This window comes from Homo sapiens, chromosome 14 (assembly GCF_000001405.40).
Source record: "Homo sapiens chromosome 14, GRCh38.p14 Primary Assembly".
Classification (NCBI taxonomy): domain Eukaryota; kingdom Metazoa; phylum Chordata; class Mammalia; order Primates; family Hominidae; genus Homo; species Homo sapiens.
This window is the reverse complement of record NC_000014.9, coordinates 74,377,277-74,390,649: the sequence shown is the minus strand read 5'-3', so window position 1 is coordinate 74,390,649 and position 13,373 is coordinate 74,377,277. Positions and strand designations below refer to the sequence as shown.

Genomic DNA, 13,373 nt, shown 5'->3' with positions numbered 1-13,373 from the left:
GGAAGAAGTAGCTTTCACTATATGCTCTTTTGTTCTGTTTGACCTTTTTTTCCCCGTGCGCATGCATTACCTATTTTTTAAAACTCATCATTTTAAAGGAAAGGAAAAGCCAGAAAGAGAAACAGAAAAGCAGGGGTGTTGGTAGGAGATTCCAGATATGCAGGTGCAATGTCACGGGGGTCAAGAGAGGGGAGCTTTTCAGAAAATGAGGAGGAGGTGGAGGAGGTACCCTGAAGTGACTTCAGATTTGACATCTGGGACATTGTTCATCACTCATTGGTGACATCTGATCACTGCTTCGGGAGAGGGGAGGGGTGGAACAAGACTGCCGCCAGTTAGGAGAGGGAGGCCATCCATGTGGTCCTCCATGGAGAGGAGAACCACAGACTCTCACAAGGGAGCTAAACAACCCATGACAAATGCAGAGGTGGCCCAGGTGATAAGGGCCGCGGGGTGGCTCCTGGAAGCCCTGGGCAGGCAGCATGGGATAAAGGCAGGTGGAGAACAGGTGGCTCAGGGAGCAAACGTGACCTGGAAACAGCACAATGCTGAGAAGCGGAGATGAGTCCCCCTGGGACTGAGTGATGAAGAGGAGGGGAACCCAGGAGGCCGGGAGAGAGCAGCAATAACCAGCTCAGCTAACAACTGACTTCTTACCCTCTTGGGGCCCCAGACCCCTTTGAGAATTTGACAGCAGCTGAGGACCCTCCCTGAGGAAAATGCACCCCTGCACACACAATTTTATACACAACTTCAGGGCTGGTCAGAGCCCCTGAGGGCCACCCCAGGTTACACCTACTACACGGCTCACTGTGGCCTACAGGATGTGGCCGAAAATCCTCATCTGCCCTTCACAGTCAGGCCCCACCAGCCGCTCTGGCCTCATCCTCTGCCCACTCACCGCTGTTTCTCAAGAGCCAATTCTCTCCTTCCCTTTGTTCTGAGTGTGTTTGACTCTAAGCTGGCCTTTCCCTCTCAGGAATTCTTCCTCCTCCTCTTCACCATTCAGAAGCTGCCTCCCTCCTCCAGGCACTGTTAATTATGTCTTCCACTGAGTACACACATCCAAATTAAATGTTGCATATTATTATAGTTTGCTTGTGTTTCAGTTGTTCCCATCTCCTTTCCCACCAAGATTTTACTTAACCTGAGAGCCAGGACCTTATCTGTTGCATAGGCGGTATCTAATAAATGAATGAGGAGGCCAGGCTCAGTGGTTCACACCTGTAACCCTAGCATTTTGAGAGGCCGAGATGAGAGAATTGCTCGAGCCCAGGAGTCGGACACCAGCCTGGGCAACATAGCAAGACCCCCTCTCTACAAAAATAAAAAAATTAGCCGGGCATGGTGCCACGTGCCTGTAGTCTCAGCTACTCAGGAGGCTGAGGTAGGTGAACTACTTAAGCTCGAGAGGTTGAGGCCGCAGTGAGCCATGCTTGTGCCACTGCACTCCAGCCTGGGTGACAGAGCAAGACCCTGTCTCAAATAAATAAATAAATGAAATATCATTGAATTACGGAAGAGACCCTGGATGGTCCTGTTTCCAGCAGCCCCTAAGGACCCAGAGAAGGGTTTGTAGGCACTGTAGTTGAATGTTTGGCTATGCTCCCACCTAACAGGAATGTTATCTTTTGCTTAGGAAGTAAGTGTTGACTCTTACTCCATAGTTCCAAGGTAGAAGTCCCAGATTGTGGACTGGGGAGAATGAAGCACAGGGCTGGGGAGGAGCCCTGTGGGTGTGGCTGCCAGATGGTTTCTTGTTTGTTTGTTTGTTTTGAGACAGAGTCTCTTTCTGTCACCCAGGCTGGAGTTCAGTGGTGCAATCTCGGCTCACTGCAGCCACGGCCTCCCTGGTTCAAGCAATTATCCTGCCTCAGCCTCCCGAGTAGCTGGGATTACAGGTGCCTGCCACCACGCCCAGCTAATTTTTGTATTTTTTGTAGAGACAGGGTTTCACCATGTTGGCCAGGCTGGTCTCAAACTCCTGACCTAGTGATCCGCCCGCCTCGGCCTCCCAAAGTGCTGGAATTACAGGCGTGAGCCACCGTGCCCAGCCTAGCCAGATGTATTTTTTAATTGAGGTGGAATTAACATAACATACAATTGACCATTTTAATTCAGTGGTATTTTGTGCATTCACAGCGTTGTGCAATCACTGCCTCTTTTTAGTTCCAAAACTTTTTCATCACCCTAAAACACCCCTAGCCATTAAGCAATCGCTCCCCATTTCCCCCTCTTCTCCTTCCTCAGCAATGATCAAAGTTGTTGAGTTGCAAGAGTCCTTAGTCTGAATATTAAACTCCTCTACTTTGCAAATCTTTTCTCCCTTTTGTAGATAACATCCTAAGATGTGCAAAACTTTTTAATTTTTATGAAGTCTGGTGAACCTATTTTTGTTGTTGTTGCTCATGCTTTTGGTGTCAAATCTAAGACTTCTTTGGCAAATCTAAAGTCATAAAGGTGTACCCCTTTGTTTTGTGCTTATCGTTTTAGCATTTATATTTAGATTGTTGATCCATTTTTAGTTACTTTGTACATGTGAAGTAAGGTAGGGGTCCACTCCATTCTTTTGCATGTGGTTATCCAGTTGTACCAACATCATTTGTCAAAGAGTTTATTCTTTCCCCTTTGAATGATCTTGCAACCCTTGTCAAAAATCAACTGGCCATAGATATTCTAGGTCTACTTCTGGAATCTCAATTCTATTCCATCTGTCTATATGTCATATTTATCCCAGTACCACATCATTTTGATTACTGTAGTTTTGAAGTAAGTTTTGAAATTGGGGACTGTGAGTTATCTAGTGTTGTTTTTCCTTTTCAATATTGTGACTATTCAGGGTCCCTTGCAATTCCATAAAAATCTGAGGATAAGCTTTTCCATTTCTGCCAAAAAAAAAAAAAAAGCTACTTGGATTTTGATGGGGATTGCATTGAATTTGTAGCTCACTTTAGGGAGTATTGCCATCTTAACTACACTAAGTCTTCCAATCAATAACATGGGATGTCCTTCCATTTATTTAAGTCTTCTTTAATTTATTTCAGCAATGTTTTGTAGTTTTCAATGTGCAAGGCTTTCACTCCTTGGTTAAATTTATTTATAGGTATTTTATCTTTTGGATGCTACTGTAAATGGAATTGTTTTCTTAATTTCCTTTTCAGATTGTTCATTGCTGGTATAGGGAAACACAACTGATTTTTGTGTATAAATCTTGTACTCTACAACTTTGCTGAATTTGTTTATTAGCTCTCTAGTGGGGTTTTTTAGGGGAGATTCTTTGGCATTTTCTAGATACAGAATCATGTGATCTACAAACAGAGATAGTTTTATCCTCCTTTTCCAATTTGGATGCTTTTTGTTTCTTTTTCTTGCCTAATTATTCTAGTTAGGACTTCCAGTACATTCTCAAATAGCAATAATAAGGTTGCCTAATTTAGCAAACAAAAATACAGGACACACATTTGGACAGGACAGGATTTGGGACATACTTACACTAAAAATTTTATCATTGTTATTCTGAAATTTAAATTATCTGGATTTAAATTTATCTGTATTTTATCTGGAAGATCCCAGGAAATGGCCCCACAAGTGCCCACGCTGCCAACCAGTCCTTCTTTACCCTCCCCATTATTCTTTTCAGGCTCTTGCCATTCCTGCCCTGCCATTCTGGAAACTTGGACACCAGAAACAGCTTTGTCTAAGCCTCAACTCTGTGATCCCTACTGTGCCAGACACTAAGAAGGTGGCTCAAAATAACTGCTTCCTTTCCACTCCTGCTCTCAACAAGCAGAGGTGAGGGTCAGGTTTTGGGAGAAGCTAAAAAGACAAAGCCTATGCCACCATCACCCTACAGCCAGATGCTGAGGCCCTGCAGAGAAAGGGGTTTAACCGAGGTCCAGAAGTTTAGGTTGGGGGTGGGAAGGGTTTTGAGGACAGGGTGAATGTCTAGGACTTTCCACCTCCATAAAGATGTTTCCACAAGTTTTTCTCTTTGATCTTCTCAGCAATCCCTAAGGAAGCCTGGCAGTTATGATCGCCCCTAGTTCATGAGTGGTGGAAGTCAGCACCAGAGAGCTGAAATGACCACCTAAAGCCATGCAGCTGACGAATCCTCTACAGAGCAGGGTCTGCACCAGGCTCTCTGAGTTCCACCAAGCTCAGTGCTCTCCAGAATGGAAGGCAGTGGGACTTTGACTCCTCATCCAAGCATAATGTCCACTGGGCTTCAGGAAGACCAGTCCCTCAACTCACTCTAGACTATTTCAACCCTTGTCTCATCACTAGGCTTACTGGGCCTTCCTATGACACCCCATCCACCTCTCCAACCTCAGCCCTAGGGATTCTGGGGAGGCAGAACAGAGCCCACTTGCATCTAACCAAAAAATGAGCCTCACTGCCTCTTATGTCCCCACCTTTAATCCTGTTAATCTGCCTTTCACCCCAGGACCTCTCTTCTTGCCTCCTTCCCCATCTCAAAACTGAGTTGAATACCAGTGATGCCTACTTTATTGTTTTTATTTGTTATATTGTTAGCATCATTATTATTAATGGCCAAAATTTATACATTTATATTCACCCACTCCTTGGACTGTTCAGCTATCCATTTAATTCATATTTGCTGTATTTTTTGAGCACCTAGTATGTGCCACAGACTATGTTGGGCCCTGCATAGGGCCGAAATTTATACATTTATATTCACCCACTCCTTGGACTGTTCAGCTATCCATTTAATTCATATTTGCTGTATTTTTTGAGCACCTAGTATGTGCCACAGACTATGTTGGGCCCTGCATAGGGCCGAAATTTATACATTTATATTCACCCACTCCTTGGACTGTTCAGCTATCCATTTAATTCGTATGTGCTATATTTTTTGAGCAACTACTATGTGCCACAGACTGTGTTGGGCCCTGCAACTAAGCCAAAACCTTGGCAGTGGTTCTCAACCCTTGAGGAAGCACTAAACATGGAAAGGAATCACCGGTACCAGCCACTGCAAAAACATGCCAAATTGTAAAGACCATCAATGCTAGGAAGAAACTGCATCAACTAACGAGCAAAATAACCAGCTAACATAATAATGACAGGATCAAATTCACACATAACAATATTAACCTTAAATGTAAATGGGCTAAATGCTCCAATTAAAAGAGACAGACTAGCAAATTGGATAAAAAGTCAAGACCCATCAGTGTGCTGTATTCAGGAGACCCATCTCATGTGCAGAGACACACATAGGCTCAAAATAAAGGGATGGAGGAAGATCTACCAAGCAAATGGAAAACAAAAAAAAAAGCAGGGGTTGCAATCCTAGTCTCTGATAAAACAGACTTTAAACCAACAAAGATCAGAAGAGACAAAGAAGGCCATTACATAATGGTAAAGGGATCAATTCAACAAGAAGAGCTAACTATCCTAAATATATATGCACCCAATACAGGAGCACCCATATTCATAAAGCAAGTCCTTAGAGACCTACAAAAAGACTTAGACTCCCACACAATAATAATGGGAGATTTTAACACCCCATTGTCAACATTAGACAGATCCATGAGACAGAAAGTTAACAAGTATATCCAGGAACTGAACTCAGCTCTGCACCAAGCAGACCTAATAGACATCTACAGAACTCTCTACCCCAAATCAATAGAATATACATTCTTCTCAGCACCACATCACACTTATTCCAAAATTGACCACATAGTTGGAAGTAAAGCACTCCTCAGCAAATGTAAAAGAACAGAAATTATAACAAACAGTCTCTCAGACCACAGAGCAATCAAACTAGAACTCAGGATTAAGAAACTCACTCAAAACCGCTCAGCTACATGGAATATGAACAACCTGCTCCTGAATGACTACTGGGTACATAACGAAATGAAGGCAGAAATAAAGATGTTCTTTGAAACCAATGAGAACAAAGACACAACATACCAGAATCTCTGGGACACATTCAAAGCAGTGTGTGGCATATTTTAAGCAGGACTCAATACTTCTTGGGAGAGACTTCATTAAAACACTCATTTTTCTCTACATTTTATAATAAAAAAAGCTGGGAGCAGTGGCTCACGCCTGTAACCCCAGCACTCTGGGAGGCCAAGGCAGGCAGATCACAAGGTCTGGAGTTTGAGACCAGCCCGACCAACATGGTGAAACCCCGTCTCTACTAAAAATTCAAAAATTAGCTGGGCATGGTGGCGCACGCCTGTAATCCCAGCTACTCAGGAGGCTGAGGCAGAAGAATCACTTGAAACCGAGAGGCGGAGGTTGCCGTGAGCTGAGATCGGGCCATTGCACTCCAGCCTGGGTGGGCAACAGAGTGAGATTCCGTCTACAAAAATAAAGAAATTAAAAAATATATAATAAAAAAACTTTAAGCATGCAGCAAAGATGAAATAATTTTGTAACGAACACCCACCTAGATTCTCTCAGTGACATTATTGCTCTATCCATCTATCATCCTTCCTCCATCTATCATTCCGTCCTCATTTTTAAAATGTATTTCAAAGTAAATGACAGACATCTATCCACTCTCCCTAAATATTTCATCATGCATATTATCAACTAGAGTTCAATATTTGGTTATAGTTTTGTTTTCCTTTTTTTTTTCTTTGAGACAGAGTCTCTCTCTGTCACCCAGGATGGAGTGCAGTGGCGCAATCACAGCTTACTGCAACTCCACCTCCCAGGTTCAAGAGATTCTCCAGCCTCAGCCTCCCAAATAGCTGGGAGCTGGGATTACAGGCACCTGACACCACGCCTGGCTAATTTTTTTGTATTTTTAGTAGAGACAGAGTTTCATCATGTTGGCCAGGCTGGTCCCAAACTCCTGACCTCAGGTGATCCTCCCGCCTTGGTCTCCTAAAGTGCTGGGATTACAGGCCTGAGCCACTGCGCCCAGCCTCTTTTCCTTTCAATAAAAAATTTACATTATAATGAATTGCAAAATGTACATTTGCTTAAGTGTACATTTGCTGAGTTTTAACAATTGCACACACCTGTGGAAATCAAATCCCTATCAAGATATAAAACATTACCATAACTCCAGAAAGTTCTCTTTTGCTCATTTCCTGTCAATCCCTTCCTTATTCCTTTAAGAGGCAATCACTTTTTCTGGTTTTTATCTTCCACCATAGATTAGATTTGCCTATTCTAGATCTTTATAGAAATGGAAGTATGTAGTACAAACTGTTTCATGTTAGGCTTCTTTCGTTCAGCGAAGTGTTTTATTCATGTCACATGTATCAGTAGTTTATTTCTTTTTATTAATGAATAGTGTCCTTTGTATAGATAAAAATAGTGTTTTAGCATTTTCTTACTGATAAACATTTGAGTTGTTTCCAGTTTGGAGTTTTTAGGAATAAAGCTTCCATGGGCTGGATGCAGTGGCTCACACCTGTAATCCCAGCACTTTGGGAGGCCAAGGTGGGTGTATAACTTGAGTTCAGGAGTTGAAACCAGCCCGGCCAACGGATGAAACCCCACCTACTAAAAATACAAAAATTAGCCAGGCGTGGTGGTGCATGCCTGTAATCCCAGCTACTCCAGAGAGTGAGGAAGAAGAATTATTTGAACCCAGAGGGGAAGGTTGCAGTGAGCCAAAATCATGCTGTTGCACGCCAGCCTGGGCGACAAGAACAAAACTTGGTCTTAAAAAAAAAAAAAAAAAGCTTCCATTAACATTCTTATACAATATTTTTTGTGGAAATATATTTTCTTTTCTCTCAGGTAAATACCTAGAGGTGAAAATATTGAGTCAGAGGGTAAGCATATATTTAGTTTTTTTAAGAAACTCCCGGGCCAGGCACGGTGGCTGACACCTGTAATCCCAGCACTTTGGGAGGCCGAGGCAGGTGGATCACGAGGTCAGGAGATGGAGACCATCCTGGCTAACAGGGTGAAAACCCGTCTCTACTAAAAATACAAAAAATTAGCCGGGCATGGTGGCGGGCACCTGTAGTCCCAGCTACTCGGGAGGCTGAGGCAGGAGAATGGCATGAACCCGGGAGGCAGAGCTTGCAGTAAACCGAGATCGTGCTACTGCACTCCAGCCTGGGCACACAGCGAGACTCTGTCTCAAAAAAAAAAAAAGGAAAAAAAAAAAGAAACTCCCAAGCCTTTCCCATCAACAATGTATGACAGTTCCAGTTGCTCCATATCCTCATATTTAGTCTTACCAGTCTTTCTTAAGTTTAGCTGTGGGCCAGGTGTGGTGGCTCATGCTTGTAATCCCAGCACTTCAGGAGGCTGAGGTGGGAGGATTGCCTTGAGCTAAGGAGCTCAAGACTAGCTTGGGCAATATAGTGAGACCTTGTCTCTCTAAAAAATTAGCCCCAGTTACTTGGGGGACTGAGGTGGGAGAATCACTTGAGCCCAAGAGGTTGAGGCTGCAGTGACCCACGATTGTGTCACTGAACTTCAGTCTGGGTGACAGAGCAAGACCCTGTCTCAAAAAAAAAAATTTCAGCCAGCCTATCTCATTGTGGGTTTTTTGTTTGTTTGTTTGTTTGTTTGTTTTTGTAGAGGCGGCGGGGGGGGGTCGGGTCTCCCTATTTTGCCCAGGCTGGTGTCAAACTCCTGGCCTCAAGTGATCCTCCCACCTCAGCCTCCCAAAGTGAGGGGATTACAGATGTGGGCCACCACTCCTGGCCCTCATTGTGATTTTAATTTTCATTTCCCTTGTGTCTTACGATTTTGAGCACAATTTCATGTACTTATTGGCCACATGTATATCTTTTTTTGTGAAGTGTCGGTTCATATTTTTTGTCAATTTTGTTGTAATTGAGTCATTTGTCTTTATTAAGTTGCAGAAATTCTCTTATATCCTGTCTACCAGTTCTTTGTCAGGTATGTTTTACGAATATTTTTTCCCAATTTGTAGCTTGCCTGTTTGTTTTCTTAATGGCATTTCTCAACCCAGGAATCTGGGGTTTGTTTGTTTTTTTTTTTTTTTGGAGACGGAGTCTCGCTCTGTCGCCAGGCTGGAATGCAGTGGCGCGATCTCAGCTCGCTGCAACCTCCGCCTCCCAGGTTCAAGCAATTCTCCTGCCTCAGCCTCCTGAGTAGCTGGGATTACAGGCGCCCGCCACTACACCCAGCTAATTTTTGTATTTTTAGTAGAGACAGGGTTTCACCATGTTGGTCAGGCTGGTCTCGAACCCCTGACCTCGTGATCCACCCGCCTCGGCCTCCCAAAGTGCTGGGATTACAGGTGTGAGCCACCGCGCCCGGCCTGGGTTTTTTTTTTTTTTTTTAAACTTTTTATTGACATATACATAAAGTACCCAAACACAAGTATACAGCTTGGCAAATTCTCACAAACTGAACACACCCATGTACTAGAATTTGGTTTAAGAAACAGCATTTCTGGCAAGGGTAGTGGCACATGCCTATAATCCCAGCTACTTGGGAGGCTAAGACGGGAGGATCACTTGAGCCCCAGAAATTTAGGGCTCCAGTGAGCTCTGACAGAGTGAGCCCTGTCTCTAAAAAAAAATACAGAGCATGGCCGGGCGCGGTGATTCATGCCTGTAATCCCAGCACTTTGGGTGGCTGGGGTGGGAGGATCACGAGGTCGGGAGTTCGAGATCAGCCTGGCCAATGTGGTGAAACCCCGTCTCTACTAAAAACACAAAAGGTATCCAGGCATAGTGGCATGCTCCTGTAATCCCAGCCACTCGAGAGGCTGAGGTAGGAGAATCGCTTGAACCCAGGAGGCGGAGACTGCAGTGAGCCGAGATGTGCCATTGCATTCCAGCCTAGGCGACACAGCAAGACTCTGTCTCAAAAAAAAAAAAAAAACCAGAGCATTTCCAACACACCGTAAGTGCCCCCTCATGCTTCCTTCCAAGTACTATCTCTCCCCAAAGGTGACCATTATCCTGACTTCTAACAGCATAAATTAGTTTTGCTTGTTTTTGTGCTTTACATAAATGGAATAATACCATAACTCCTCTTTCATATCTGGCTTCTTTAGCTCAACATGTTTTTTTAAGATTGATCCACATTGTTGAGTATAGCTGTAGATCATTCATTCTCATTATCACGTAGCATTCCATTATGTAACTACACCACAGCTTATTTATCCATCCTACTGTTGACGGGCATTCAGATTATTTCCTTTGGTTATTATGAAAAGTTTTTATGAATATTCTTAAACACATTCTTGCTAAACATATGTTTACATTCTGTTCGGTATGTACAGTCATGCATTACTTAACAACAGTGATACATTCCAAGAAATTCGATGCTAGGTAATTTTGTCATTGTGCGAACGTGATAGAATGCACTTACGCAAACCTAAGTGGTGCAGCCTACTACACATGCAGGCTATGTGCTACAGCCTATTGCTCCTAGGCTACAAATCTATACCGCACGTTGCTGGACTGAACACTGTAGCCAATTACAATGCAATGATAAGTATTTGTGTATCTAAACATAGAAAAGGTACAGTAAGGCCAGGCACGGCCTGTACTCCTGAGTAGCTGTTGGGATTACACCTGCAATCCCAACACTTTGGGAGGCCAAGGCGGGAGGATTACTTGAGCCCAGGAGTTCAAGACCAGCCTAGGCAACATAGTGAGACCTCATCTCTACAAAAAAAAAAAAAAAAAAATCAAAAAATTAGCTAGGCATGGTGGCGCACACCTGTGGTCCCAGTTACTCTGGAGGCTGAGGTGAGAAGATTGCTTGAGCTTGGGAACTTGAGGCTGCAGTGAGCCTTGATCCCACCACTGCACTCCAGCCTGGTTAACAGAGTGAGATCTTGTCTCAGATAAATTTATTTATTTTAAAAAGGTACAGTAAAACCATGGAGGTACAGTAAAACCATGGTATAAAATATTTTCTTTTTAATTATACACCTGTATAGGGCACTTACTATGAAGGGAGTTTGCAGGACCGGAAGTTGCTCTGGGTGAGTGAGTGAGTGAGTGGTGAGTGACCGTAAAGGCTTAGGGCATGACTGTGCTCTACTCCAGATCATATAAACGCTGTATATTTAGGCTACACTAAATTAATTTTTAAATTTTTTCTTTTTTTTTTACTTTTTCTTTTGAGATAGAGTCTCACTCTGTCACCCAGGCTGGAGTGCAGTGGCACAACCTCACCTCACTGAAACCTCCGTCTCCTGGGTTAAAGTGATTCTCCTGCTTCAGCTTCCCAAGTAGCTGGGATTACAGGCGCCTGCCACCACCCCCGGCTAATTTTTGTAATTTTAGGATAGATGGGGTTTCACCATGCTGACCAGGCTGGTCTCAAACTCCTGAGCTCATGATTCATCTACCTCAGCCTCCCAAAGTGGTGGGATTACAGGTGTGAGCTGCAGCGCCCGGCCACTTTTTTTCTGTTCTCTTTTTTTTTCTTTTTTTTTGAGACAGAGTCCCCCTCTGTCGCCCAGGCTGGAATGCAGTGGCGCGATCTCGGCTCACTGCAAGCTCCGCCTCCCAAGTTCACGCCATTCTCCTGCCTCAGCCTCCCGAGTAGCTGGAACTACAGGCACCCACCACCACACCCGGCTAATTTTTTTGAATTTTTAGTAGAGATGGGGTTTCACCGTGTTAGCCAGGATGGTCTCGATCTCCTGACCTCGTGATCCGCCCACCTCGGCCTCCCAAAGTGCTGGGATTACAGGCATGAGCCACCGCACCCGGCCTTTTTTTCTGTTTAAAATTATTTTGGGGGCTGGGCGCAGTGGCTCACGCCTGTAATCCCAGCACTTTGGGAAGCCAAGGTGGGTTGATCACTTGAAGCCAGGAGTTCGAGACCAACCTGAACGATACAGTGAAACCCCATCTCTACTAAAAATACAAAAATTAGCCGGGCGTGGTGATGGGTGCCTGTAATCCCAGCTACTTGGGAGGCTGAGGCAGGAGAATCGCTTGAACCCGGGAGGCAGAGGTTGCAGTAAGCTGAGATCATGCCACTGCACTCCAGCCGGGGCAACAGAGAAAGACTCCAACTCAAAAATAAATAAATAAATAAACATTTTATATTTTAAACTTTTTTTGTTAAAAACAGACACAAACCTTCTTATCCGAGAAAACAAATGGCGGATGATGCCGGTGCAGCGCGGGGGCCCGGAGGCCCTGGGGGCACTGGGATGGGGAACAATGGTGGCTTCCGCGGAGGCTTCGGCAGTGGCATCGGGGGCCGGAGTCGCGGCCGTGGACGCGGCCGGGGCCAAGGCTGCGGAGCTCGCGGAGGCAAGGCCGAGGATAAGGAGTGGATGCCGTCACCAAGCTGGGCCGCTTGCTCAAGGCCATGAAGATCAAGTCCCTGAAGGAGATCTATATCTTCTCCCTGCCCATTAAGGAATCTGAGATCATTGACCTTTCCCTGGGGGCCTCTCTCAAGGACGAGGTTTTGAAGATTATGCCGGTCCAGAAGCAGACCCGTGCCGGCCAGCGCACCAGGTTCAAGGCGTTTGTTGCCATCGGGGACTACAATGGCCACGTCGGTCTGGGTATTAAGTGCTCCAAGGAGGTGGCCACTGCCATCTGCGGGGCCATCATCCTGGCCAAGCTCTCCATTGTCCCCATAAGCAGAGGCTGCTGGGAGAACAAGACTGGCAAGCCCCACACCGTCCCTTGCAAGATGACAGACCGCTGCGGCTCTGTGCCGGTGCACCTCATCCCTGCACCCAGGGGCACTGGCATTGTCTCAGCGCCTGTGCCCAAGAAGCTGCTCATGATGGCTGGTATCAATGACTGCTACACCTCAGCCCAGGGCTGCACTGCCACCCTGGGCAACTTCGCCAAGGCCACCTTTGATGCCATCTCTAAAACCTACAGCTACCTGACCCCCGACCTCTGGAAGGAGACTGTATTCACTAAGTCTCTCTATCAGGAATTCACTGACCACCTCGTCAAGACCCACACTAGAGTCTCGGTGCAGTGGACCCAGGCTCCAGCTGTGGCTACAACATAGGGTTTTTATACAAGAAAAATGAAGTGATTAAGCCTGAAAAAAAAAAAAGACACAAACATACACATTAGCCTAGGCCTACACAGGGTCCAGATCATCAATATCAGTGTCTCCCACCTTCCACCGTCACATCTCATCCCACCAGAAGGTCTCTAAGGGCAGTAACACATATGGGGCCGTCATCTCCTACAATATCAATGCGTTATTCTGGAATACTTCCTAAAGGACCTGCGAGAAGGTATCACTCTGAAAAAATACATGGTGGTTTGCTTGGTTTGTTTCTTTTTCCTTTTCCTTTGTTTTATTTTTGGACACAGATTCTCACTCTGTCACCCAGGCTGGAGTGGAGTGCAGTGGCACAATCACAGCTCACTGCAGCCTCAACCTTCTGGGCTCAAGTGATCCTCCCATCTCATCCTCCCAAGTAGCTGAAGCTACAGGCATGTGCC

The 13,373-nt window shown here is 45.1% G+C and overlaps 1 pseudogene; it reads left to right on the top strand.

Moving 5' to 3' along the window:
• RPS2P2 (ribosomal protein S2 pseudogene 2) lies at nt 12,027-12,963 on the top strand (annotated as a pseudogene).